The sequence below is a fragment of the Homo sapiens genome, chromosome 4 (assembly GCF_000001405.40).
Source record: "Homo sapiens chromosome 4, GRCh38.p14 Primary Assembly".
Classification (NCBI taxonomy): Eukaryota; Metazoa; Chordata; class Mammalia; order Primates; family Hominidae; genus Homo; species Homo sapiens.
The window spans coordinates 98628009-98651596 of record NC_000004.12 but is presented as its reverse complement, the minus strand read 5'-3'; the positions used below and the strand labels follow the sequence as shown (position 1 = coordinate 98651596).

At 40.2% G+C, this 23588-nt stretch overlaps 1 protein-coding gene across 7 annotated transcripts in view, besides 1 other annotated feature; it reads left to right on the top strand.

The window, feature by feature from the left end:
- Positions 1–23588, top strand: part of TSPAN5 (tetraspanin 5) — a 188245-nt gene that overhangs the window by 7015 nt on the left and 157642 nt on the right. The gene's annotated exons all lie outside the window — the stretch shown is intronic.
- Positions 11738–11837: an enhancer, noted in NCBI's record as "active region_21735". NCBI's record gives its function as "activates an Ori minimal core promoter by ATAC-STARR-seq in GM12878 lymphoblastoid cells {active_cell/tissue: GM12878}" and the evidence as "EXISTENCE:reporter gene assay evidence [ECO:0000049][PMID:35858748]".

The window sequence follows — 23588 nt, the reverse complement described above, 5'->3', positions numbered from 1 at the left end:
AACCTGTTTTTATCCTGTTTGAGACAAAGTTGCCAGCATGTTGGCTATCACACAAACAGTTGAGTATGTATTTTCTGTAAACTGGACTATTCTCCTAGATCACCACAGTACAACCATGAAAGCCAGGAAATTACCAATGATACATTAACACCATTTAATCCTTAGATTTCATCCAAGTTTCCCAGTTGCTCCCATAATGTTTTAAAGCAAAAGAATTCAGGTCAGAACCACACTTTGTATTTAGTTACATGTTTTTAGTCTCTTTCAGTCCTTCACTATCATGCTCTTGATACTTTTGACAATTATAAGCCAGTTATTTTGCAGAATGTCCCTCAGTTTGTGTTTGTGCCATTTTCACAAGCTTAGATTCAGGCTGTGCATCTTTGGTAGGAATAGTACAGAAATGGTGCTGCGTTCTCATTGTACCCTATCAGGGTGGCATTGATTTCTGTTTGTCCCATTACTGATGATGGTCACTTGATCAAGGTGTTGTCTGCCAGGCTTCTCTACCATATAGTTACTCTTTTCTCATTTGTAATTTATAAATGTTTTATGGCAAATTACATTGAAACCATGTAAATAGCCTATTCCTCATCAAATTTTCAATCTGTTATTTATTTATATCAGTAAGAACTTAGTGTCTTCCTTTTTTCAGTGTGGTTTAATGTTACTGTCATTACTTTATTTAAAATGGCCCTAGGTTTGGCCAGTGCAGTCTTTTCACATTGGCTCCTGTGCTCTTTTAACTCCCATCAGTCTTTGAGCACCATCTTGCTCTCTGGCAGAATAAGATGTTCCAAACTCATTTTGTGATTTACCTGTGTCATCTTTTGTATCAGACATTTCTCCAAGGAGCTATTGAATGGAGAATGGAATTTAGAAGCCAAGATCTGGTTGCTTGGTGTGCTCATTGCTATTAGGGTGTTGCTACTCTGTGTATATACAGACACACATGTACATCTGTAATTCTGTATCTATGTACTTTTAAAACCATGAGTTTACAGTCATACCTTAAATTCCTGTCTGATACCACAGGGTTTAGTTTTTCCTCTCCATATTTTATAACTGCTTTATTTGACAGTGAGATTCTTGGTTCGCATTATTCTTAACAGTTTACTTATTTGGTAAATCTCCCCATATGTAACCAATCTTCTGCAGCTGCCACCACCTTTCCTCCTGGGGCTGCCCTCCTCAGCTGTTAGTGCTCTAGCATCCTGTGCCACCACCCCCATCCCCATATGGATACCTTTCTCCCTGAGATACCCTGCTCTGGGCTTCCACAGCATCCCTCTTCCTACGTTTTTGTAAACGTAGGAAGCCTACCAGATTGGACCTACCTAATGGCTTTGAATTTTCAGGAAGGAGAAGGCGAAGAGCCTCGGCTACTCTTGAATGATGTAAAATAAGACTTATCTTCCTTCCCCATGGTCCTTCATTATTTAAAAATAGCCATTATGTCATTCCTAAACATTCTGTTTTCCACCTTTAAAAGCTCCTAGTTCCTCCATGTGTTTACACTAATGATGTTTTTCTTGTAAGCATCTCAAAGAGTCTTCCAAACATATTATATCTTTGTGACAGATGAAGAAATTGGAGTACAGAGATGTGGAGTAACTTTTGAGATGTTGAAGAGCATGTCAGGGTTCGGTTTTAGAGTGTTAGGTCTACATATACTGTTTCCAGATTGTTCTTTGCCCTGGTCACGGTGCTCTGCCTAGGGTCCCATTTGGACACACCTCTATTAATGCAGCAACCAGAATGAAACACGTTGTTCACAGGCTTTTCTAACCATCCGAAGAGCAGCAGGCTCTTGAACTCTCCCTTCAGTCCCTAGGCTGTGCTGTGCCTGGTGGCAGAAGCCTCTGCTACTGTCTGGAATTGACTTTGAGTAAGTTACTTTCACAGATTAGTTCCTCAGTTGCTCATCTAAAAAAACCAGGAAAATAATTTTCTGCAAAGTTGTTATCCAGTATTATGTGAGATCATGCATATCAACGTGCTTCATAAATGGTAAATCTCTAAATACAAATACTAGTTATTAACCCAGGCTAAACTGCACTTGCTTTCCCTGGCAGCCAACGAACACTTTGGCTTGGATTGACTTTTTAGTGAAATAAAACCTTCACTTTTTCAAGTGAACTCTATTAAACCATCCCCCTAAGCTATATGCTAATCAGAAGCCCTAACCCTCCAGTTAATTATTTGAATTTAGATTTAGTTCTGTTTATTTCTCCCATTTAAATGTCTTATTCTGGCCCATTGGATTTCAAACCTGCTACCAGCAATCCTAGGCCTCCTTGAGGCGTATGTGGGTGGGTGGGTCTGTGCTGGTGGGGTGTGGACTGAGCAGTACCTCTCTTTCCTCCAGAAAAGCTTGGTTATTAGTTTGATATTTTGGGATACTAAGAAAGATTTTGCTTGAAAAAAGGGGTCCCACCACTTAAGAAAGAAAAGAACCAGTATTCTAGCCTTTAGATGTCTTTGAATCTTGATGGCCAAAGTACATTTTTAAAAAAATTACTCCTCGTGTGGGTTTTTATCTCTTGGAATCTCTCCATGCATGGGAAGTCCCTCTCACTAACTAGGGGTCACTTCTGTAGGATTAGTTGATATTTCACCCCTTTATGCATGTAGTGTGGCAGCCTGATTAGTAAGGAAATTTCAGTCTTCCCACTGGGAGATCTGGTTCAGTAGGTCCATCCAGGATGGGGTCCTGGAATTTCTGTTAAGAAAAAAATCAAAACTTCCTGCAGGTCATTGTGATGCCCAGCTGAGTTTGAGAAGCTTTAGCTTGTTTTTCTTGGGAAGATGTGGCCTCTCCTTCCCGTTGCTCCCTGGAGGGGATGTGTGGGAGAGCTGGGCGTGGGTGGTGTAGAGCGGTGACCATTTCACCAGCACATGAAGCTAGTGTTCTTTGCTTACGAGAAAAAAAAGGTGGCCTATTTTATCCCTCATGGAATTTTTTATTAATCCAAAAACGCCAGTTTATTTTTAAACCTGAAAGCCCTAAAAACAAAATGAGAAAAATCTCTTGAAAGAGAACCTCTGGTGCTGCAACTAGTTTGCTAGCAGTTAGCATCATATAGGGCTAGAAGCTAGCCATTTATTCGATAGGCACAGTGAAGAGCTAGACTTCTGGTTCCTTTGCCCTGCTTGTCCTGGACCACTCTGCGTGTGTCAGTGCAGTTGAGTAGCTCTAACTACAGACACTTAACAAGGGCAGACCACCTTCTCCTTCAAAAAAAATCAGCCTCCCCATCCACTGTTGCTGTTCCTTTCAGCCTCCCTTTTCTGGGGCTTTCTCGTTGGCCTCCAGCCCTGACTATGCTCAGTTTGTAGGAGGGGAGTTGCTTTCTGCGTCAAGGTCTGCATGACAGGTTCATTGAATTCCCTCTGCTGTAATGCTGTGGAGGGGACATTTCTTTTCCCATATCCAAACTTGCAGCACTGTCACAAAGACAGTTGACAATAAAGCAAATACAGAAGACCCAGACATGATATTTGCCAGTGTTCTTTAGAAAGCTTCAATGTGGAATATCCGGGTTATGCCTAGTGTTTTCCTGTTATTTTCTTAACTTTCTTTTTTCCTTCACCCCCTTTGAAAGTTAGATCTTTGATTACGGCTGGGTTCCTAAAGTAGAAATCTTGAAAAATAACATTTTGAATAAAACTCTGTATTATTTCTCTGAGCTGTTTTACTGGGTCTAACACCACTCCTTTTTTTTTTTTTTAAACAAAACAAAACAGAAAAGCCAACCAAACAAAACCAAACCAGAATGGTATGCAAACCCAATGGTTAGCACTGTGATATTATCCATATGTACATAGAGGATTGTTAGTTATGAATCACAAGGTATAATTTTTAAGTAATATAATCACTAAGCCCAATTACAAAATGGTGTTTTTGTGGATGGCAAAACATCTACAAATGGCAAAACATTTTGGCTCTCTTCATTGGAAGGGAAAAGTGATGTTCTATACCACTTCCAGCTACTATTTACTATTTTGATAAGTATTAGAAGGCATAGGGCTCTTTTTACTTGTTGGAAAATTTTTCTAAATTACACTTGGCACTAAGGCTTGAATTTCTAAAAATCTGGAGGGAACAGCTGGTGCTCTAATAAATATTCAGGCCAGCTATTTTAATGCATTGTACTCAATTAAGTAGTCCTAATAAAAGAGGAATACTTGACTTAAGCATTTCTCAAAGCATAATGTTGTGCTTCCAACAAAAATTTCCTCCAACTGTTGATATTTCCCCCCAAGCAGCCTTAACATTTAATTCTGCCAAGTAAGTAATCTAATCATGGATGATGCATTTAATGCCAAAAGTTAGTTCTCTTTTAAGGTATAGTTGTATCAATGTGGCCTAGCCCTTTAACTGGAGACTCCATAGGTCACTGACCTTTTAGAAGAATTCTTCGTCTGGTTCAGAGTGAGAGAGTATTGAAAGATTCATCCTAACTTGGGCATTCTGGTACCCTTGTGGTGGGAGGGCAGAAAGTCTGCTGTTAAGGAGTTTAGACTTTGAGTGTGTCTGGATTTTTACCCAGCTATGTTCCCAAGCTTGTGACCTTAGACGTTACTTGCCCACCTTGCAGTTAAGTCTCCCCTTCATCTGCAAAATGGCACGTTTAGTAGTATTAATATTATTAATAGTAGTATTAAGATAACGTCTATCTCGGAATCCTGAGGATTTGAGGAGTTAATATGTGTAAACTGCTTGGAATAGTCAATAGGTATTAGCAATTATTATACTGTTTTCCTCATAATTTATTTTGATTGTTTTCCCTTCTTTCAGAATCATTAAAATAATCTTACATTGTAACATATATTTTTTGTTCTCTGTAATATTCTGCCTACATAAGTGCATTCTCAAAATAACTTAAAAGGAAAAAAAGATCTAACAAATGTTCACAGTGTTCTTTTCATTGTAATGAGTGGCACGCAGTTCTTATCGTGGATACCAGACCATGAATTCGCTTCTATTGTTTGTTGTTAATTTTCCCTTTTTTCTTTACCCAGTTACATTCACTATTTTCTTTGCAAAATCAAAGTGTCTCCTATTAGTATTTTGTACTGGGAAGTTGAGTTTCTGATGGATAGCTGTGGTGGTGTTAGGCCTAACACCTGGGTGGGGTGGGGAGGATAGATACCCTTTGTCAACATCTGTTAAATCTGGGCATTCTGGAACTATCTAGATGGCTGTAACTAAGTGTCTTTAGTTCTTTATGGTATCATAAATCCTGCATATTTTGGTCATTTTTTTCCTCTATTTCAGACAAATTCTTGAGGTCATGAAGGTGAAACTTGAGTCAGTGATCCTGATAACTTGGGTTTTCCCCTTATATGTCCTTCCAGCTGATGCAGAGCTAGGATTTTGGATTGAACTACCTGGATCATTGACTAATCATCTTGGTGAATGAGAGACTCACTGGCTTCTCCTCTAGGGCATAATGGGATGCGATGAGAGCTTGTGCTTTTTTTTTTGCCACCTGTACTGTCCCCTGACACAGGAGACGTGGGCTGTCACATTTCCAAGTTGCCTCTTCCATATAACTGGGCTCAGCTCTGAGAGGAAGGCCAGGGCGTGCTAAATTAGTAGGTGCCTGTCACTCATTCCCATGCAGAAGGCATGCTGAAAACCCCAGCCCTTCAAGGGGAAGCAGGGGATAAAGGGATAAGTCTAAGTAGAATTTTTACTGTAGTTTTTATTAGTAAAAAAGAATGATATATGTAGCACAACAGGAACAGAAGCGTATTTAAAGTCATCTCTAGCTTACCAGAAACACCCCTAAAACTGCTGGTTTAGATTCATTAATCAACCTCATGGTCCTCAGATGGGTTGTGACTCCCTGTTGCGTAAACACGAACCATGTTACTTCCTGGTCCTCCTGACCTCCACTAGCTGATTTCAGCGAGGATCAGGAGTTAGGTCGCCAGCTGATCTAAAGCAGCGAGTCCCAAAGTTCAGCCATTTGTAAACCACCTGCATGGTTTTGGACCAACTCTTGTGTCACCCCATAGTTTCTCAGATTTTAATATGCATACAAGTGGCATGGGATATGTTGTTCAAATGCGGATTCTGGTTCAGTAGGAGTGAGAGGGGACAAAGATCCAGTACCTTTAACAAATGCCCAGGTGATGCTGATGGCTCTGGCCCACTGATCTCACTTTGAATCTCAAAGATATAGTCCATCTGAAACAATCTTTTCTTTTAAATTGACTCTGATTTTAATCTTAAATACATATATTTAAAAAGGAATGTAAAAAGTATCACTATTCAAATGCATATAATGACAATAATATGACTTACTAACTTCTAGGTAGCTATTATTGGTGCCTGTTGGTAAGCCTGAGTCAGAGGCCTCTTTTCTTTTGTTATAATGGAGGTTAACAAGTGTAGCAAGTGTTCGACATTCTGGCATCAAATGGAGACTTTCTCCTTAACTAGACCAGAGGATGAAAAGATAGTTGAAAACCAGTGACTTTATATTGAAGGATATTTAATGCCACGTTCTAAAACTTCTCTTCTGGTACCCCAAGTCACCAGGGAATCGCACTTTGGGGAACACTTGTGCTTAAGTAATTTGCAGCAAGGCATGCATTTATAAACTGAAATCTATTAGTGAGGTGGATGGATCCCTAGAGGTAAAATGCTTGGGGAATGTGTTTAAATGTTTGCATACTCCATGTTCTGTTTTCTGTTGAGAGTGTGGGAGAGAAGAGGGGCATCCCCCATTTCTGAAAAGTTGCTAACCCTAGGCCCAGTGAGTAGTTACATCTTAGGTATGAGAAGGAAAATGCTTTGGGAAATTGTATCTCAGGCCAGCAGGAAGTCAACTTTAAATGCTTAGGAACTGTATCTCAGTGGGCTTCCTCCTCTCCTCTTTCAAGTTACTATAGGTATTGCTTATGGTCAGCTTTGGAATGAGTCTATTTACATAATGCATTTTAAAAATAGGGTGCTTTTCATTGTTCAATGACGAGTTAGTGGGTGCAGCGCACCAGCATGTCACATGTATACATATGTAACCTGCACATTGTGCACATGTACCCTAAAACTTAAAGTATAATAATTTAAAAAAAAAAGGGTGCTTTTTTATTCCAAAAATACGGGAACATCAATATTGCTTTTTTAAAGGAAATTTACTACAATAATATTTTCTTTCGGTTCAACTGTATTAAAAGTGGAAACTCTTCGTCAGGTGCTCCGAGAACAGTGAACAAACACTTCAAATGAAAAAAATATTTTAGAGTTTCAGTTGTATTTCCCTATGAGGCCTTGAATTTAGCAAACCTTAGTTAATTAACTTTTTAAAGGAAAAATGTGCTCTTACATTAGTGGCTTTTAAGCATTTCTTCCGACTTTACCGGCCTTTCCCCCTTAGGACAACATTTAAAATAAGTGTTTTCAACAAACAGAGCAAATACCTTGTGAATAAACATCAATTTCACACAACCAGAAAAAAAAAATAAATCAATAAATCTCCTTTAGGCATTTGAAAAACTCTATACTTTTTAAAAAGGGAGGAGTTGTAATTCAGTAACAGGAAAACTAAACCCCAAGAAACCAGGCTGTTAGTTTTAGATGTTTTTCAGCATGACCTTATGGAGGCAGAAGACGGGCTGGGAACTTCCTGAGCACCTGTTTCGTTATTGGTGCCCTACTTATCCAAGGATGGGCAACAACTGCCCACAGGGCAACTCCTGTGAGAAAGCCTACTCTGTTTTTGTTTTTAATCTCATAACTGGAATCCTAGGGAAAATAGTGTTTTCTTTGGTACCAAGTTCTTTTGGCTTCATCTATTGGGTTTTGAAAGAATAAACTGAATGAAGAGCTGTCTAGATGATACAACTATATGTGGCATTTTCATATTTTTTCCTGACCCTGCAAGATTAATAATCCCTAATATTCTCACTATATGCTTTGAGAGTTTTGCTGTCCAGTGAAGATTTGAAACAATTGCACAAAAATTTGAAAACGGTGTTTTACTTGTCATGTTTAAAGATACAGAGTCACTATTTTAGAAGTGAAGGGATAGGGGTCTCAAAACAAATTGAAATATATTTTGTGAAATATATACATATGTATTCCACTTAAATATAAAATATATAGTACCAATATATATCCTTGATGCTTATTAAATACTGATCTATATCCTTGGACTTTTTAAAAAAAGTACAGTCATGTATCGCTTAACAACAGGGGTATGTTCTGAGAAATGAGTCATGGGATTTCATCATTGTGCAAACATTGTAGAGTGTACAACACAAACATAGACGGTGTGTAGCCTACTACACACCTAGGCTGTATGGCATAACCTGTTGCTCCTGGACCACAAACTTGTATAGCATGTTATGGTAATGAATACTGTAGGCATTTATAACACGATGGTATTTGTGTATCTAAACATACACAAGGTACAGTAAAAATATAAAAGATAAAAAAGTGGTACACCAATGTAGGGCACTTACCACGAATGGAGCTTGCAGGACTGGAAGTTGCTCTGGGTGAGTCAGTGAGTGAGTGGTGAGTGAAAGGGAAGGCCTAGGACATTACTGTACACAAATGCAGACTACATTAACACTATACTTAGGCTACATTAAATTTACAAAAAATATCTGTCTTCAATAATTAACCTCAGCTTACTGTCACATTTTATTTTATTAACCTTTTTTTAGCTTTTTTACTCTTTTGTAATAACACTTAGCTTAACAGATTGTACAGCTGTACAGAAATATTTTCTTTATATCCTTAGTCTATAAGCCTTTTTTTAAAAATTATTTTTTATCTTTAAAACTTTTTTGTTAAAAATGAAGACAAAAACACACACATTAGCCTAGACCTATACAGGATCAAGATCATCAATACATCACTAGACAATAGGAATTTTTCAGTTTCATTAGAATCTTATGGGACCACAGTTATTCCGTCATTGATTAAAATGTCGTTATGTAGTGTGGGACTGTAGATATGTGCTCTCTTTGGAGAAAAAAAAAGAGAAACTACCTAAATGACCGTATCACCTCTAAATATTTTCATTCATAAGAGACTAAAATTTCTTTACTGTAGTATACTATAAATATGCAAACTAAATGAAACTTGTTTTAAAGTTAAAAGCTGGAGATCCATTTTAGAAACTAACACATAAGCAGAAAAAAAATTTTGTGGTTATTAGTTGGAGGCTAGAAAAGAAACTCTTTGAACTATGAAGTTACTAAGTCTTAGCTAGAGACCCCAACAAATGATTAATTATTGCTAAGAATCTTTTAAAATCCAGTTTTAAAGTTTAAGTGTTGTTTCTGTGGAATTTTTCCCTCACCTGCCCCCTTCTTTCTGTGATTCTAATTCCAAAATTGAGAAGACAGAGCTTTTTACTTTTAGGGAAGCTAAACCTCTTTCTTGCTCTAAGAAGGTTGACCTGCTGATGAAAGAACAGAAGGTTGGAATTCTTTTGAGCAGGAATAGCTGTGCAAATGCTTATTTCATTGTTCTTTGGCCAATCTTTTTAGCACTCAAGTATTAGAACTATGCTTTAATTGGTCTTTTGCAGCCCTGATTGTATAATCTTAGGATTTATATGTTGAAAGAGACCTTACAAATAATTTGGGTCCTAGTTTTTACTACTCACTGTTCAACACTTTGCCTACCCTTTTCATAGTGGAATCCTTTGTTTTCCTAACCAAAATTTTAAGCAAAGACCCCAGTTTATAAAACAAAGAACAGAGCTTCTCTTCTGGGAGCCCAGCATCTCAGGTGCCTCAGCTGTGTTCTTGGTATCACTGTGTAGGAACAGTGTGCAGAGGGGACAGTGGGAGTCCTGGTGGATTTTACCCATGGGTGGAGTTTGAGCTGAGACTGGTGGAGAAGGCATCTGCTTACCGTTTATATGTTGAATTAGGATGAAGTCGGCACTTGGCCTGTGTTCTTTGTAGGATGTGTGCACGCTGAATTGTCCAAGTTCCCAAGTCCCAGCACTTTGACTGTATTTGGTTCCACTAAATGGTTTTGGCGCAGTCGTTTTGATTAACATCAACCTTGCTTATGTTAAGTAACTATTCAGGTTATTTATTATGCATTACTCTCATGCTTTGGAATGAGCAGACTCAAAAACTTCTGCTTCATATGGATTCCATATGTGGCCTTTAAGTTAGCAGAAACACAAAGGTTTCCAATTAATTTGCACATAAAATTGTATATTGAGTAAGTTAAGCTTGATGGCATAGGCATTATTTGAAATTCTTTGTCATCTTTAATATTTTTATATTTCATTTAAACAAGTTATTAGGTGTTTGAAGGTTCTGTGGTGACGAACATAACCTACACATTCACATATGTCCTGTTTGGTTTTTTTGTTACAGAATGCAGGTATCCATGGAATTTATTTTATTGTTTTATACTGATGAGCTCCAGATAGTAGGAGATTATATAAAAAGAGGGGATATTTACTTTTTTATTTCTGTGATTTAACTTTTTCTCCCCTCCTCTTCCCAATGCTAGGCAGAGAATATTACAACATGTAAGACAGTGGTTAAGGGTGAGACTGCCTGGATTCAAACATGGGCCTTGATATGTCCAAGCTGTGTGACCATGGATGGTTACTTCATCACTTTGAACTACTCCTTTTGGGCAAAAAGTGGGTAATATTAGTGGCGACCTCTAGGATCATTGTGAAGATTCCATGAGATGATGTACATCCAACCCTGAGCACTCAGTGAATGCTGACGTGATAATTGAGGGACCAGTAGGTGACCCACTCAGGGGAGTTGCGGGCTTTTGGTTCACTGTCACCTGGGAAAAGGTGTTGTCAGTGTCCGGACCCTCAACTTTCCTTGTTAGAAAAGTGTACCCTGTATAATAGAACTTGTCACTAATGCCAGGCTTTGTTTCCTTTGTCCCCCACCCATTGGAGGAGAGTGTATCTCCATGCTTTCCTTTGGCAACTGGATCTGAGGGTTTTCTCATCAGAGCAGCTGCCATGTTCCTCTCCTCCTGGGCTGTAATTTCCTCTCCTGTGTAGCCATAGCTGTCCACCACGTCCATTCCTGACATGGCCTGGCCAGTCCTTCCTTTCTGGATAACAACGCCAACATTTCTTATGTCTTACCTCAGGGATCATTTTCAGGCCACAGACCTACCTGTTTTGTTTTGTTTTTTTAAAATGGTAGTATCTACAGAACATTACAGTTTCCGTAAAATCATGTATATAAATATGCCTAGAAAACTACCTGAAATATAGCAGCTATCCCATAATTACTAATTGAAATACGTTAGTTGAATCTGAAATAAATTTCTTAGCCTAGGAACAAAGTTAGCATCCATCTGGGTCTCTGCAAAAATTTGTAATGTGTAAAAATAGGCATGTTTAGGAAGTTGCTTAATTTATTAATATATACTTCATTTTTATGGCAGTTACAGATTCTCTAATTGAATTTATATTTGCATGATTACAGTTTTTTTTTTGTTGCAAACGATTTTTATGGGCTGCTGAAGTTTAAGGAGTCTGGCATTTTAAATTGTTCTTCACTGTCTGAGAAGTAAAAATATGTCTTAAAAAATCATTGATGTTATAGTAAAGGAAAGCTCCCTCCCTTCCCTAAGTTAGTGCCTTTCAGAATGTGAGCATTTGTCAAGTGGAATTCTGTCTGATCCTTTTTCATTTTCTGAGCTATTATAAGTGCTTTCTTTTCCTTTAACTGTCATAAATGGTTTTTCTTCCCTTAACTAAGTAAAGATTTCTGGAACAATGTTTTGACCAGATTGAAACCAGCTTCTGTCCTATCTACTAGTCATTCATTTCTTGATTTCTCGTGCATTTCTAAACATAGATAAGTTTCTAATGGTGAAGAAAGTGAAACAGAAAGGAAGGAAAGAAGCAAAAGCTGGGTTGGGTCACCATATTGAGCGAAGGATATGCTTGTGGGGAATCCTACACTGTGATATTGGAGTAAACAGTTACATTATGGGGTGAGACCAGGTGAGATGGCTTATGCCTGTGATCCCAGCACTTTGAGAAGCTGAGGTGGGAGGATTGCTTTAGGCCAGGAGTTCAAGACCAGGCTGGGCAACAAAAATGAGACCCTGTCTGTACAAAAAAAAAAAAAAAAATTAGCCAGTCACAGTGGGGTGTGCCTGTTTTCTCAGCTACTCTGGATGCTGAGGCAGGAGGATTACTTGAGCCCAGAAGTTCAAGGCTGCAGTAAGTTATGATTTTGCCACTGCACTCTGGCCTGGGCGACAGAGCAAAACCTTGTCTCAGATTAGATTAGATTAGATTAGAATAGATAGATAACATAGATAAGATCAGTGTTTCAAAATCCTTTTCCAGTGAGAGGCATGTACTGCTGCTTTTGTAACCCATGACATTGAGAGTGTAGCAGGGGGTTCATGTGGAGGAGTTGCTGAGACCAAGAACCCCGTAAGGATAGTCATCTAAGTTTGGGAATACACACAAATTGTTGGGAGACACTTCTCCATGGGTCTCTTGTGCTCCTGCATGTCTTACTGAGTATACCAAGAACGTTCTTTACCTGGGCCATTTCTTCGTGTTGTGTTTGCAATGAGCAGCCTTGAGGGATGAAGTAGTGTCTCTTTCTGGGACAAAGACTGACCTACTCTCACTTACTGCTTACTATAAAGCAGCAGGTTTCCCAAGCATAGGTTCCTCAGCTGGATGCACGCTCACTGCATGTGCAGCTGCCATCTGGGCCCCTCAACGCTATTTCCATTGGACTGATGTAAACATGATGCTGGTGTTGTCTGAATCATGCTGTGAATAATAAAGTCCTTTGTCCTTGACCCGGGAATCTCATGTCTTCTGCCAGCTTCTATGAAACAGTAACAGGCTAACTTATTACCTTGCGAGTAGGGTAAAATCAAACAAGACCAGATACAGGTGGAGCTTCCAGATGAGCTGAACATGTGGAGGTTCCTGTAGGGTGGTGCTCTAGAAAGGGCATGGAAGCGCCATGTCCCTTGCCCCATACCTTTACCTGTGAATCTCTTCATCTGTATCCATTGTAATTTTTTAAAATAATAAACTAGTAAATGTAAAATAACCAAAACAAAGAAACCAAATGCCGGTGTATTACATATAAGTTGATACCTAGCCAGTTAAATGCGTTCAGATGTGTCTTGTTTAGGAGGTAATCACCCGGGCCTCCCCCACAAAGTATGGTTCAAAGGGTCATGGTGGGTGGCTCCTCAGAGCATCTCAGCTCCCTTAGACCTGATGAAGGCTTCACAGGCATTTCATATCTGTGCCTCTGGCCAGTATATCTCCAGGGAACTGAGTGCCAAGGGAGACCAAGGCATCTTTACTGACATTGTTGTACCTTAAGTGAGGCAACATGTAAAACTGTGACACATGGGAGTGCTTGATTTTTGAGCGTGCGGAGCAACAGGGTCCAGTGTTATGGTGGCAGGGGCAGGAGAACTCATGGCATCAGGAGCGTAGACAGCCCCACTGGGCACGAATTATAACCCAGGCAGAGGCAAGGCGCAAGGGTGGTCAGACATCTGGCCCTGAAATAAGAAGAGACAGGTGGGAAAGTCCAGGCCAAGACCGTGGAGCAGAGTTAAGAAGGAGCAGGAAGAGCCGATCTCAGAAACAGGCTGGCTCTGTTGAAATTGGACTGAGGCAGATAATTTCTTTCTTTCTTTTTCTTTTCACCTTTCAGCACTGTTGGACATGAAGGAAAGATAATTTCTAAGTTTACTTTTTGATATTTATAGATAAAATGCTTTCAAGCAGTTAACCAGCCTATTGGAGAGTGACACTTAGATCATCTTGAAGTTGGTTTGGGCGATTTAGAGAAACATTTATAATTAAGTTATGCAGTTAATGAAAGCCAAGTGGGGACATTTGTTCAGAACAATTGTTTTTGTACCTTTTCTTTGTGATAGAGCTGTAAAAGTGTATTTACTTGTAAACTGCAACAAGTTTTTGCTCCTTCCCCCATCAAAAGAATAATATATCTATATAATAATTAGGCCTGAAATTAAGATTCTAGATTTAAAGAGGACTCCCAGGGCTCAAATATAGGAGATAAGATGTTGAAACACCACTCCTGTTGTTTGCAAAATGAATATTAATGACATTTAGTCAAAACCAAATTCTAAATATTTAATAATATGTGAAAATTATTAACTGCCTGTGGTCATCAGTTGAGACCCATAGTTACTGCTGGAATCCAGGGATACAGGGATTAAAAAAATAATGGATCAGAAAGTAGATGTTAATGGGGAAGTATCTGTGGGAGAGTGACCTCTTATCCCTGAGGGCCGCCATGTACAGCTACACAGGAGGCGAACTGCACAATTCCCTGGAATGTGCGTGATGCTCCCTGGAGTTGTGCAGTGTGGCAGTGCTGTGTGCATCAAGGGCAGGAGCAACGGCAGTCCTTCAAAGGCTTAAGTAAGTGGCATAGAAAGTGGACAGTCCTTTTAAGTTGCATGGCTTCAGACACTTCTGTTAGTGTGATAACTACTGCCTGTGCCTCTCACTCTTTGAAGAGGAACTTGCTGGTGATGGGGCTTCTCATGGGGAAGCTGGGAAGCTCCCTACCAAGGGGGAGGGTTCCTAAGCCTGACAAGGACTGCTCATCAGGTGCTTTGGTATCCTGTAGACTGGGCTAAGAAACCTCACACCAGGGTCCACTCTCCAGCTGGTCTCCACTGGGCCTAGGGAGACCAAAAGACCTGCAGTTGCTGAACCTCTCTTATTGTACCTGTGAAGCCAAGTAAACCATTTGTTCACTTATGTTAAAGAATAAGCTTGATCATTCATGTTCAAAATAGTTAACTCTTTTTTGTGAATTAATAGTCTGGCTATAATTACATTTGACATTTCAGTCCAGTATATTTGTCATCCAGATGAAGAAGCTGCCAGCCGCATTTTTTTCCAGCAGTTTTACTTGACTTTCTTTTAATTTTATGTACAAGGTGTTATTTAAGTGCACAGATTAATAGAGATAATATTTATATGTAAAATTATTTTTATTGCATACCTCTATGAGTAATTTCTCACTTGCATTGTTATAATACCTCCCATCCTTCCCTAAAGCGCCACTCTCCCCACTCTACTGCAGGAGATTTCTCTAGCAGCAATTCTGATTATGTCATACTCCCCTGCTTTAAATAGCTAAATATTCTTAATTTGGAAAAGATTAAAGCTAGGCACCATTATAGGAACCTTGCCTACTTGTCACCTCTCATATTTTCTCATCCATATTCTGTTCCACAGTCTTACCTGCATGGAGCAAAGGTGTAGGGCATATTTGATGTCCATTATAAAATATTCAGGCTCCCTCAGTTCAAGGGTCCTCCACTGTAAAGCAGTCCACTATGTATGCAGGTGTCAGTCCTTTTTCCACCACCTTGTGGGAATTGGGACTTGGAGAACTGCCACATTATGCCCTTATTTACATTTCTTGACTCTGTAGCTTTGCGCTTACCTCTGCTTTAAATGATATTTCTGCCATTTCTGTCTACCTTCCATCAAAGGTATGGTGTCTACCTTTACAATAAGATTGTAAAGAATAAAGAGGTAATGAGTACAAAGCACTTAGCTCAGGGCTTGATTAGCTGCTGCTGCTATTATTGTTACTCTTGCAAAATTGGTTCCAGAATTATACCCTTTGGGTGCTCTTTCCTAAACTTCTTCTATCCCTACCCTATTATTTAGGGAGACCCTATTTAGCAGTTCAGTCTTTATATATTCCTTATAGCTCTTTGTTGGCAATATTTTTAAATCATAAAGAATACCTAAATCTATAATGATACTAAAAAGAGTATTTGTCTAATTTTCTTCTGGCCAGGTGGATGGCATCTATGAAGAGGGGGCTGTGGAACGCTCTCAGCCAAAGAGTGCTAGTCTGGCATGTTGTGCTTTTTCAGTTTGAATGGCTCTGGGCAATCTGTTTTGCTGTAGTCTCTTTTTTTCCCCCGTTCAGCACCTTATTTTCCACCTGATGGTCTTTGATTCACAGCAAATTGTTTGTCTTCTAAAGGATAAATCGAAGGTGGGTTTAAATGGTTCAAATACAAGCTGGCTATTAAACTGTGAGTTTTACAAGCTGTCATGTCATATGGGCTGAGTTCTATCTAGCTAGATCCACCATTGGAACTATTCTAAGCCATGGTGAAAAGATAAAAGACATCAGCCAATAAATCCCTTCCTCATGTAGGGGATTCATTGTTGGGATAGTACCTCCACAGGGTGTACTATCAGGCCCAGGCTTGTCACCATGACCTCTTTGGTGCTAAGTCAGTTAGAGGACCCATTTCTCACTGGTCTTTGAGTTCCCCATGGGATAGGACCTTAAGGGGGTTTTATCCCAAGCTTTGCCAGGGCCTGGCTTCTGGAAGGCATTCCATAAATTGTTTTGAATGCATGAATGACTAAATAAGAAAATGTGAGAGTGCTTCGTTAACTGTAAAATTAGCTAAATGTCAACTAATATTTTTTCCCTTCTGTGATGTGGAAAGATATGCAGGTGCAGGAGCAGGCAGCTGATGGTGGAGACTGGGGCGAATGGAAAGTGCCTGTTATAAATGGCAGCCTCCTTACCTGTGCTTCTGTCCAGCTCTCTTGCCTCTCACCCTGAAAGGCTGTGGTCTGTCAAATCACTCACAGGTCTGTCTGTGGAGAAGTCCTAAGTAGTATAGGGTCCCCACTTCTGTGATCCATTTCAGTTCCAACCCAAAGGACTTTCCAAAGAATGGACATCTTTTGTCTCTTCTCCCACTCTGTCCAGTTGGGTTTATAATCCCTTTCATTATCTTCTCCTCATTCTCCCCACTCTGTTCTGGTCTTCATCTGTAGAAATTTATCTGTCACCATTTTGGGTGCTCAGGATGCTATCGTTTCTCAGATCCTTCCTTCGTGTTTCATGGATACCTCCTGGAACCCTTTTTTCAGTGAGCTGGGAATATGTCTTTCAAGAAAAGGAGGTGGTATATATTATAAAAAATTTAATTTGGGACAAAGCATCTGACAAAGCGTTTTTCCCTCCTTATGTGTGGACTTACAGCAAGTGTTTTATAATAGCATGCAAAGTAAACCACATTTGATGGGTTTTATTGAAAATAATACATTTACCCCAAAAGGGGAAAAAGTACATTTTTGTGCATGTCAATTGACAGTATTTGAAATGGAAATTTTTCTAGAAAATTTGGGAGGTAACAGTCTCAGGAAAGGAAACTTTATATGCTATAATCCAGACATTGGTCACAGAGAGATTTCCTTTGGTGGCTTAGGTAGGGCAAGGCAAAAGGCCCCTTGTACCCATCTGCTGTAGAGATAGCATATGGAAGAGCCCTGCCACTCCCTGCCAGTCAAGCCCTTGTGATAAATCTTGATACTCCCATGTATATTTGCCTGCTTGTGCTGCCAAGGCCACTGAAAAAGGTCAGTGCTTTGTGAAATGGAGAGTATGATATAAACATAGAAGTTGTTAGTAATTTTTATTGTGATTGATCACTTTTTTTTTCTTTTCTTTCCTTTTTTTTTTGAGACAGAGTTTCGCTCTTGTTGCCCAGGCTGGAGTGCAGTGGTGCCATCTCCACTCACCGCAACCTCTGCCTCCCGGGTTCAAGCGATTCTCCTGCCTCATCTTCCTGAGTAGCTGGGATTACAGGCGTGTGCCACCACGCCTGGCTAATTTTGTATTTTTAGTAGAGACGAGGTTTCTCCATGTTGGTCAGGCTGGTCTTGAACTCCCGACCTCAGGTGATCCTCCCGTCTCGGCCTCCCAAACTGCTGGTATTACAGGCGTCAGCCATCGTGCCCGGCCGTGATTGATCACTTTTAAGTACATGAGAATTCTTGGCATGACATACAAAAGAGGATGGGCAGAGTTCCTTTTCCTGTCTGTGATATATTTCATGACGATCCAGTCTTTGCGGGCAGTGGTTCAGGGTAGTGCAGCCATTGTAACCTAAACCATTCCTGTGTGTTTATTTATCAGATTTTCTCAAAGGGTGAGTGCTGATCATTTTAAATTCTGTTTAAAAATAAAATTGTTCATCGAAGTGATGAAATAAATAGGGGTCAGATATGATTTTAGAGATTTCGAATCCTGAAGAGGGTTTGAGATTTGAATACCATCTCTGTACACTCAAGGCAAACTTCCTGTATCACTCAGGACTCATAACTTCATCTGCAATTTTATTATTGGGTGACATAACTGAACAGGTCGCTGCAAACACTGAGAATTATTGAGTTGTTTAGGTGAGTCTCTCTTGTTTAAACTGTTGAAAGGTTCATTGATTTGTGGGTGAGGGAAAACTGTTGTAGCGTAGTTTTAGTGTTTGCATTTCATTTTAACATTACCTTGCAAGGGATTTTTCATGCTGTACTAAGGAGATTACAAGGCCACCCTAAGGCATTTTAGGGTTATATAAGGAACTGGCTTTGCTGTTTTATGTACTGGCCCTTTTATTTTCTGGCTAAGCCAGAATCTTGGTAACCCTCTCACCTATCACCTTTGGGTATTACCTTTTCAGCTCTCCCTTTGCCCTCATGAGTCCAACCAGTGCCCTGGTCTGAGCCTCCATCCTCCCAACTGCCCTGGCTTCCTGCTGTCTGCCTTCCGTGTTCCTGCCTACGGTTCATGCTTTGCCCTGGACCTCAGTGGTCCTTCATGTCTGTCTGATCACGACACCTCATGCTATGAGTGACCTCCACAGCTTCTGCTGCTTTTGGTGCAGCATCAAATCCTCCCGGTCTGTGCTTTCTCCTTCAGGGCCCACCTGCAGCCTTATTCCCTTCTCCTCTTCCTTCTCTTCCACTCCAGTCCTCCTCCCCATCCCCAGTCAAGTTAACCCTTGGAATATTCTGTCATACCACCCAGGACTTTTCCTTCAGAGCATACATCATAATTAGGTGAGGTCATTATTGCATATTTGGGTGATTATTTGATTGTCTGTATCTTGCGCTAGGCAGTCAACTTCCAGAGGGAAGTGGCTGTCCTTTTAATGCAGCATTGATGGTAGCACCCACACTCAGGGCAGGGTTTTCGAAGTGCTCCATAGGTCCTGGTTTTCCGTGACAGTGCTGGTATACCCCTGAAGTCCCCATGTAATTTATTAATAGTGTCCCCTTTCACTTTCAAAGTTACTCTCATTTTGAATGACAGCATATATGATGATCCCTTCTAAAGCCCAGTGATATGTAGTCATTCAGGTAAAAGGTTTTATTGTCAGGCTCCCAGAGTGGGAGAGCCTGGTTCCAGGGTCGGGGGGTCAGAGGGGAGCTGTTGCTGAATTTTGATTCTGGCTGAAGATAATTTATCTTCTTGAAACTCTGGCAGCATATACAGATGTGCCTGTTGTTAACATTTTAAGAGGTAAGAACACTCTCTGTGCACCTGGGATTTTGGAATATGATAGTGGGAGGCACCAAGACTGTTACAGAAATGGAAAATGAACACAGGGTGGCAGAGGGTAGGTACTTCTGCCAGTCAGAGGCAGACAGACTTTCAACTGGAAGGGGTCAAGGACACTATTGCATTGTGTTTGGCCAAACAAACAAAATGCATTCTAGGGGAGAGCTGGTTTTAGTCGTGTGTTTAGCGGGGGCTCAGTGAGAGGCACACAGATGATCTGTGCATCCATTTCTCTACTGATGTAAAGACTCAAAGAAGGTAGTGTGCACGGTGCCAGGGGAATCTTGTTGAATTACTAACAGTGAAAAACTAAAAAGTGGCCTAAGATCTTGGTTTCTAAGGCCTATTATGGCCGAGTCCCCAGAGACAAAGTTTCCTCCTGTCTGACTTGGAGCAGATGCTCGTCTGCCTCAGGAAAGGCTCTGAAGAATCCAGGAGAACATGCTTTGCAAGGCACTTTCAAATTGCTGGGTCCCTTCAGGGGAAAAGGGGTTTTTATGACACCACTAGTCTGAAGATAATTTTTATCAGATCCTATAGCCTGAGGTCTTAAAACAGAACAACACTAAAGAGCCCCTCTCAGGCCTGGCTTCCTAGCAGCAGTTGGATGGGACCTTGAAGTGGTGGCTCCCTTCATGTTGGCCCTGCAGGGTCAGGCATCTAAGACTCGTGGAGGCCCAGGCAGTCTGGAGGGATACCAGATGACATAGCAAATGCCAAAAAAAAAAGATCGAGTGCTATGTTTGCCTGTGTGTGGGTGTGTTTGTTTCACAGGTACAGGTGCACCCACCCGGAGTCAGGGATGGAACATGTGCAGTGAAGGCTATATGCTTCCCAGATATTGGGGTGAACTTGATGAGAGTCTGGTGGTGGACTCAGGGACCTGGAATTGTCTTCCTCACTTTCTTGCCACTTCTCAGTGTGAATGTTGTCTGTAGGGGGTGCTCTCCTTGCTTGCCGTGGGTCTCAGAGCTACCAGAGCATTAGAATGTAGGAGATGCGCAGGCCTTGTGGACGTTTTGCCAGTCGAGCGATTCAGCAAAGTAATTGCAAGGTTTCTCTAATTGTTAAATATCTACAACAGGCTGAATTTGGATTGGCTGAAAAGAAAGGTGAAATGAGGTCATCAGAATTACATGATTTTTTTCAAGTTCTGGCATCTTGTGTTCTTTGCCAAGCAGAAATATTCCAGTAGAACTGTGATAATGCCTTTCATCTATCTGCTGAGCCTTCCAGATGGCAGTTTCTCAGCCAGTGAGCAAAAGAAAGGGTGTTGAGATTTATGAGTAAGTTGATTCCCTTCGTTTGTACTTCCCAGTGAACTCTCATTCGCTATTTGTGCTAAGCACCAGTGGCAAGTTATCCTCACATCTTTAGCTCTGCAGGGCCCTTAAGCCAGTAGGCCTTACTTCAAGGGGAGGAGGGCTTCAAATTCAGAGTAATAAATAGCTGTCTAAATAGAGCCCTTCACATACTTTCTCAGAGAACTTTTTGTGATCTAAGTGGACTTAAGTTTCTTGAGGACAGGGGCACTCCTTTCTCCTGGGTAGCACCAATGCACAGGAAGCTTGGCGTTGGATTCCGTGGGCCCCTCCCTTTCTAGTTATGTGCACAGTCTCCCGGGTTGAGAGAATCCCTCCCTTTGCTAAGTCATCTTCATTCAATCCAGGGATGTTTAGGGAATATGCGTGCCTCGGATGACAATACAAGATGGATTAAGGTGATTCTTGTGCTTTGAGAGCTCTCAGTCCAATGGAGGAAAAACATATAAATAAATACACACATAAACGAGAAGTGGTGTATAAGTCTAAAGATCAGGTAATGAGGGAATGTTTTAGAGGAGGTGGTGCTGCTGTATGTATTGGAGGCGGGTAGGGATTTGCTGAGCAGAACATGTGCCATGTTGTTTTCTCCATCAGGCCTCATGGCTGGAACAGCTGCAGTGCTTTTCGTTTGGTGCCTCCTCTGCTTTGCCTTTGTCCTGTTCTTGTTCACTTTGAGCACCCTTGCAGCCTACCCTGGGCATAACCCTCCAGGAACTCTGATGCTGTTTAGTAGATACTCAGAGGTTACCACTTAATCCTTGTTGGTTAGTTTTGTTCCCCAACTCGAGCGTGAATTCAGGACAGGGCCCATCTCTGACCACACCAAATGCAGTCAGTGCATATGTTAAGATTTAGGGAAAGCGTTTGGGTTGGTTAGTCGAGTATTTTCATAGATTATTATTACCTGGTTATGTAAGTATGACAAGACAGTTTAACAATGACACAAATATAAGCAGAGGATCTGATTAAAAATACTTTTTTTTGAAAGGGAAGCATAAGTTTGTGGTCAGCAGCAAATAACCCATTTGATCTTCATTCATTTATTCTTCCATTTATTCACTCACTAACAGTCTGTACCTTTGTGAATAGCAACAGTCTTTTTCTTCATTGGTGTTTTTTGAATGCTGGGTTTTTACTGCCCTGGGGATTTTCTTTAAACCTGATAGTTGTTTTGATAAATCATCTGGATACCAGCTTTGAGCTAATTCTTTTCTATTAAGTACCTCTTAGAGTGGCTGACCATAAACCATTTGAGAAATCACTACATTTTATTAATGACTTTTGAGATTTAGCAGCAACTTAAATTAATAATACTGGAGTGTGCTTTGGATAAAAGACCAGGAGACTGCTTCATTCTGCAAACCAGAGCAGAGATGAGAATGTTTGCATTAGGAGAACGTAATTTATCAGCATTTTAGGCTAGTGTGTCGATTGATACAAGGTTGGGCAATAGTGGTAGGCAGTGTTATAAGTGCTGTTTGTATGTATCAGCTCATTTAATCCTCCCAGTAACCCTTTAAGATGTCTGCACTATTATTTTTCACATTATTCTGATGAGGACATCGAGGCACAGAGGGGTTGTGTGACTTGCCTGCAATCTTGGTTGTGTGCTCAGAAATAGTCTTTTTGAGACTGAAGATATTCTGGTTATGTGTAATACACAGTACAACTCAAAGACTGTGAAATAGTTCATAGACAAATTATCCATTCTTTGCCACTTTAGAGTAATTATGCTTATTGTTTCTGTTTCAGGATAATATGTGTGTGTTTATAAGCATTTTTTCCTTTTTATTTAATTGCAGTAACATATACATAAATAACTATGATGGCTAGTTTTGAACTCATTTAAAAACAAGTAAATTTATGCTTTGATAAGCTAAGGTACATTCAAAGCATTCCCATTTCCAAAGCAAAGTGTTTTCAGTTAAAGATTATAGATGTTGCCTTTTGCCAGGGATGCTTGTGAGAATGTCATTTAGAGAAATCTTAAAGTAATTTATCCATAATATTAACTTAGCATGCCTTCTCTCTGCAATGTACAATGTATCATAGGACAATGTATGATACAGCTCAGTTTTGATATATCAGCAAGTTGAGTAGTAATTTTTGTTTGTTTGTTTTAGTTGTTTTAAAAGCTGGTGTTGCAGATTCCTATGCTTAGAAGGACCAGGCAGAAAATAAGCCATTAAGGGTGCTGGGAATGCAATAGGGAGTGATGGGGAGTGTGGTAAAGGGGTCAGCAATGCTTCTGCCATGCCTATCAGGGAGCTGGTTTCCATTAGCTGTTGGTTGACCCAGGAATCTGTACCTGTGTTGCCAGATCTAACCATTTTCCAGGAGAGGCTGGAACTTCATATTTAAAAAATGAGAATTTGTCAACTTTAATAATTTGGAAGAAAATTCAAATTAAACCAATACCAGGCAGTGTGGTGTACCCCACATTACAGAGGAAAGTAGGGGACTTGGGAGGTACATGAGTCAATCTATAGATGCTCCTGTTGTCATGTTAAACTTGTGCTTGCTTTCAGTTGCTGTTAACATTTTGGGTCCACTGTATCTAGACATGTCCTTCAAAAGTTGCATGTAAGTTAATTTTTTTTTCTGTATTTAAAAAATGGCCCCACAAACACTAGTCTAGATGTTGAAAAAAACCCTTATACCTTATTATGGAGACTTCTGATGAGTCCTTTTGTACAGTGAACAATCACTTGCTGTATTTACGTTTGTACTTTTGTGTTTAAAATGGGGAATGGTGTTAGATATTGCATACTGCTTGAGTTAAGGAGGTCGTTAACCAGGAATGCTTTGGATTACTCAGATTATTATTGCACTGGTGTTTGTTGTAATGGAATTTGACCTGTCAGGGGAGCT